We start from the raw sequence: 6000 nt of genomic DNA on the forward strand, positions 1-6000 counted from the left end.
GTGAGAGGGGGTTGGTCTTGCTGTCTCAGAGGTGGCAGAGGAGGAAGAAAATCCACATGTAAGTCGACTGTGCAATCCACACCAACGTTGCTCAAGGGTCACCTGTATGAAGTGACCAACAAAGACCCAAATCTAAATCTCAGTTGCCATGGCCTGACTTACTACTCCTTAGAACTTATTACACTACCTTAGCTTCTAAACTGGCCGAAAAAGTGCCACTTTGGGGAATAATCTGCCCAGATGTTTATCTGTGACCATGAACTCCCATCATGAAGATTATCTCGTGAGAAAGAAAAGAGGAACTGCATGGGTATCTTCCCACTCCACCCCATACTGATGAGTCAATATTAAATTCTTTTAAAGTCTTAGTGATAAGTAACCACAAACTGACCAACTAATTTTTGTGAATTAATGAATAATGAAAGTACTTTCATTCAACGTTATTTTTCCTCAGTGCTTTATAAAGAACACCCAATCTAGTCTCAGATATTTGGCTCCATGAGAGCATCTTTGCAGTTCTGCTGACAAGATCGGCATCATCAATCCTACATGGCTTCCAAGAGTACAACAGGCCATCTTATTCTACCTATAAGGAAACCAAAGCTCAGAGACATTAAGTAATAGGCAGGCAATTTCCATGGAAAGCTGTTTTTCCTTTTCAGAAAAAGACATACGTATCAGCTGAATGGGGACGTGACCTTTTTTAGTTCCTCCTCACCCGGTGTTGGCCTCCCCAGTTACAATCACCCCCCACCCTGTGCTTGCATCCCGTCTTTGCTTGTGAGACACACCTGCTGTTTAAAGGTTAACCCAACTTTTCAAGCTTCTCTAATATTTGATGGCTTTTGTTGTTTTGCAGCTTGTGTGAACTTTTTTGGTATACTTCTTTAGTGGCTGTCAAACTGCGCCATTCTTCCAACTGAAAAACATCTATTTTGGAGGGCAGCTTCAACAATTTAACAAAGCTATTGCCACTTTCACTTTATTTTGTTATAATTATGTTTCATTCCCCCCAGAAGTTTTCCTACTGATTATTGGAGTTCTGCTACCCTCCTAAACCACTTAAGGATGAAATTCAGATCCCCAGTGCATTTTTATCCCTAGTTACTTGGAGAGAAGGATTAAGTAAACTACCTAATACCTCTCTGTTTTGACACAGAGAATAGGAGGAAGAGAAAAGACCCATTGTGTTTGAACACATTCCTTCACAAAAATTCAAGCTCTTAGAGGCGGCTCATTTGTTTCACCATTTAACAAAATTAAGGAAGTCTGTGTTTGTCCTCATAGCTATTCTTGGCTGCCATGATGCTCAGGGAGATTGGGGATATTGAATGCTAGCTAGCATGGTTTCTTGAGGAAAAGAGATCGCACATTTGTGTTCTTGTTTTTTAGTCTTTCTCACAAGAGAATCCATCAAATTGCAAAATAGCATGATCTTTCCCCAAAGCTGCTTTGGAGAGTTAACCAACTTACTGATTGCTATTGTTAACTCCAGAAAGAGTTTATCCTTTCTCTTACTGTTCTAATCCTCAAATCTGTTGCACATTAGAATCACCTGAAGCGTATTTAACACATACCAATACCCAGTCTTCAGGCTGACCACTTAGATCAAGATCTCTGAGGATAAAACCTGGCACACTTTGGAAAGTTCACCAAGCCACTCTAGTGTGCACACAGGGTTAACAGCATCTTCTCCAAAGCCTCTGGCTTCAAGAATTCCTTTAGAGTCATTGTTATGATGCAGCCAGGCAGGTCTGGGTTAGATCTCTGCTCCACTAACTAGCTATGATGTAGGGCTATTTGTTTAGCTTTTCTGAGCCTTGGGTGTCCTTCTATAAAAGAGGGATAATAACAGCTCCTACCTTGTGGAGTTGTTTTGAGATTCCATGCAGTGATGCATGGATAGCACAGCCTGCCTCCACTGCAATGACCAGCTCATAGTCTTCCTACCTTTGAGTGTCTTTTCTGCTCAGTTCATATTATACAACAATGAATCTTCCTAAAGTGCTGCTCCCCTGCCCAGTAAGAAAGAGAAAAGCCATGTCTGATATCTGGGCACTGGCCTGATATGTACAACTAGAACTTGTTGGTGTTAGTAGCTGATTTGGAATTCAAAGCTAGGCCCTGGTATCATCCTGTTGGACATAATCTTATCAAACATCATCAGGTAATGTCACTCTGTGACCATGCTGAAGTGAGACAAAAGCCAAGACCACTTCATAATTATTTCTAAGCAGAAAAACAGGTCGCTGCTCAAACTACAAAAATATCAAGCACCTCCCACCCCAGTTAGTATGAGTGACTGCAGCTTCTTCACCTATTACAGCTTTAGCTTCACTCTAATCTTCTCTCTTTCTAAAGTTTATTCAGATAGTCAATTATAGAATTATGCCCACGTTCTGACAGCACCCAATTCAGAGTAAACCCCTTTTCTTTCGACTCCAAATTCAATCAAATGAAGCCCAAATTCTATAAGGAATCCTTTCTAACACCTTCCTACTGAGACACCCCATGGCTCTCTAGGTGCATGTTCTCCCACACTGCCTCAATTAATACACCCAACTTGTTCAACAACAGGTATGTTCCTGGTGGTCTTTGACTGGAAGGCATTGATTAGCCTCACTCTCTTATTCAAAATCCTATAATCCCACTTTCTGATTTAAGAACCAAAGCGTCCTTAAAACTATTAAGTTGCATTTATATTGCCCTACCAAATCGTCTAATCTTTTTTCACTATGTCCTTCTGCTACCTATCAAACCCCATTTCTCATTGTTCTCTGGTATGACCTTCTGGGATACTTCTCTTTCTTATTCACGATGTTTATTTTCTTGCATTTACTCTTGTCATTTCTATACTTTCTTCCCTGATTCCTTCTCTCCTCACCCAGCCTGAAATAATAGAACACTTACTATGTGCTAGATGCTGTCCCAGAAATATGACTCATTAAGAATGAACAACAATCTCTATGGTAGATGCAAGGAGGAAAAATATAAATTTGGATCTTAGAAGCTTTGATGTATCTTATGATAAAATATGGCCAAAATATAGATCAACTTTTTATGTAATATGTTTTGTAGACAAAGGTTACAAAGTAAGAGTAAGTGGAAGTAAGAAATATTCTTATTAGAATCCTGTAGGATTCAAAACCAAAGAGCTAAAGCCTCTCATTTTGATGGTCTTCTTATAAGATGATATTTAGATGTAGCTAAGCATAAACATTGCAGTCTTTCCTACTGGCTGTATTAACTAACTTTCTCCCCTTGATGCCTGTGGAAGATGAAGGATGTGTCTGAGACAGTTCTCCATTAGATGTAGGTGTATTTTTTAAACTGGAAGTATTATGTATATGTATAGATATATAGATGTATAATCAACAAACCGACCAAGCATGAGGAAAGCCACCAAGAATGAGGAAGCAAGACTACAATTTGAGCCTTCTGGGAGATCCACCCTCTATCACATACCTACATATGGAAAAAATAATGTGGCACAAACTTTTTAAGACTTATTTTATAACTATAGAAAACGAGAAAGATTGATGCTTCATCTGCCAGAAGATCAGTTCCCTGCTGTTGCTTTTCTTTTTATTTAATCCCCCACCTTCTTCCCCCATACTAACGTAAAAACAAACGTCCAGGACTAATTAAAATCAGAACCCAGTATCCGATTAGCGCACGTTTGGCAGACCTTAGCTTTGGCATTGTTTTCTGACCAGTTTACTGATTAGTGTTTATTACTAATCATCTGTGGCTGGAAACATGACCCAGAGAGAAGAAAGACAAGGGCAACAGCATGCAGTGACATTGTTAGAATTATTCAAAGTGTTTTCAGCAGGAATCACTCAACTCAAATCCACAACCACAACAGATGCCTTAGCACGCCAAACCCCAGGCATTGGCGGCCAGGCAAAGCAGGCTTCTCTCAGCACTTGGCAAGACTCCTCTTCATTTTGCCCTGTGTCTGAGGTCCAATGCTTGGCCAGGAGTAAAGGTGGGACAGGCTGAGGGAATAAGAGTTTGCTGTATCTGACAGCGATGCTTGATGTCATATGTCTGCCCAATACACCGTAGAAAATCAAGACTAATTTAACCTCTCCAGACTCAGCTTTTCTGAGGAAGTGTGTTCACCCCTGTAGTATTTCAACAAATATTTGTTGAGTGACTACTATGTGCCAGATCCCTGATGTTCTGGGGAAGGCAGTAGATGAACAAAAATATGAAAATTCACTATTAAAACTAATGATAGGAATTCATTGACATCTGAATTTTCAATTTTGTAACTAATGCTATTACTATGGCACTGAAGAGAAACTCAATAAGGCTTTTCTTCCTAAATAGATATGATTATAACTTTATTTTACCAAGTTCATAGCCTAATGATTGCTGGCTTTGCTAATATTCTAATTCCTTTGTTTTGAAATACATCTTTTGACAGTTAATTTTTTTCTCTGCTTCTAAAAGTAAGAAACTTCTGTATTTAAGTTCATTTAGAAAATATGAATTTTAACTGCCCATCATCTCACCACCCCAAAACAACCATACTTAGCATCTGGGTGTAAAATAGGAAATCATGAAATCATGATCAAATCATGATCAAATGTTATAATCATATCTATTTAGGAATTATAATATCAGCAAAACCAGCAATAATTAGGCTACAAACTTGGTTTAAAAAAATGTTCTGTCTATTTAGGAAGAAAAACCTTTGCCTATGAGTTTCTCTTCAGTGCCATAGTAATAGTTACAAAGTCATCATGAAATCATGATCGCCTATTTTATCTCTTGCTTTACACCCAAATGCCAGGCATGGTTTTAAATAATGAAAACATGTCTTTTTTTTTTCTTAAACTATTAATGTATTGCAAATTCAGCTACTTGAAACAAAGACAAAAGGACAGTATTCTAATGAGAAGGTTTCTTTAGGAAATGGTGGTTTCTTCCCTGAGTGAAATCTAAGTTAATTTTTGTATTTTTGCCAAACCAGAAAGGTATGAGAAATTTAGAACATGACAGAGGATGATATGGATGATGTTTTATTTAATGTATTACAAGAATATTTGTTTAAAGGTTAACAAACACCTTTTCATCTATGAAGAGAATTTTAGTGTCTGAGAGAGCTGTAGCTGAGTGGTGGGAATGGTTTTTACCTATTTAGTTAGCACATTTTTATCAAATGTCTTTTATGTGCCACTAATTAGGCAAAGAGACTGGGAAATAGAGGTATGGAGGCACTTAGTCTAGGGGGCAAATGATCTTACGCCAGTAATAATACTCAAAGTAAGTATCATGGCGGAATATGCTGTGCAGAGAAGTACCGATGCTGTGAGATTACACAGCAGGGACCCTAACTTATTTGAGATAATGAGAGAAGTCTTCCATAATCAAGTACCCTTTAATCTCACACAGTGCATTTGTGAGAAGGTACCAGGTTTAGTCTGGTCCATGGTGGAGACCATTCCAGCAACCATGGTCATGTCAGAACCCATATTTCAGCTGTTGAAAATAACTACCCTACAGAAGGGCCATTTTTCCTTGCTGAGATGTTGGTCCTATGAGTATGATTACACAGTGAATCTGGAAAATAGCATGCTTGTGTGGTCAGTCAGCTTTCTAACTGACCTTTCTCAGAACAGAATGTCACTTCCTGGAGACCGTTTGCTGGAGCCCCACTCTTCAGCCTTTAATGTATAGAATCACTTTGGACTTAGTTAAGGAGATACCAGAAATTCCAGGCTGTATGCATAAATGGATACAGAAAGCATCAGAGAGGTTTGAGTGGTTGTGGCAAAAAGATTCATCATAATTTATACGCTATGCGTTCGAAGATGTCTCATGTGAAGTCAACAGCTGAAATTGAATGAATAATTCAGCATGTGAATCAATCGCATCATCTCACTTGCCACGTTATTGCTATTTTTACGCAATTGCAAAGTAAAAAAATAAATTGATGTCATAAACAACTGTCATTTGACATGATAAAGACCCTAGCATTTTAGGGAT

Source organism: Homo sapiens, chromosome 5 (genome assembly GCF_000001405.40).
Source record: "Homo sapiens chromosome 5, GRCh38.p14 Primary Assembly".
Lineage (NCBI taxonomy): Eukaryota > Metazoa > Chordata > Mammalia > Primates > Hominidae > Homo > Homo sapiens.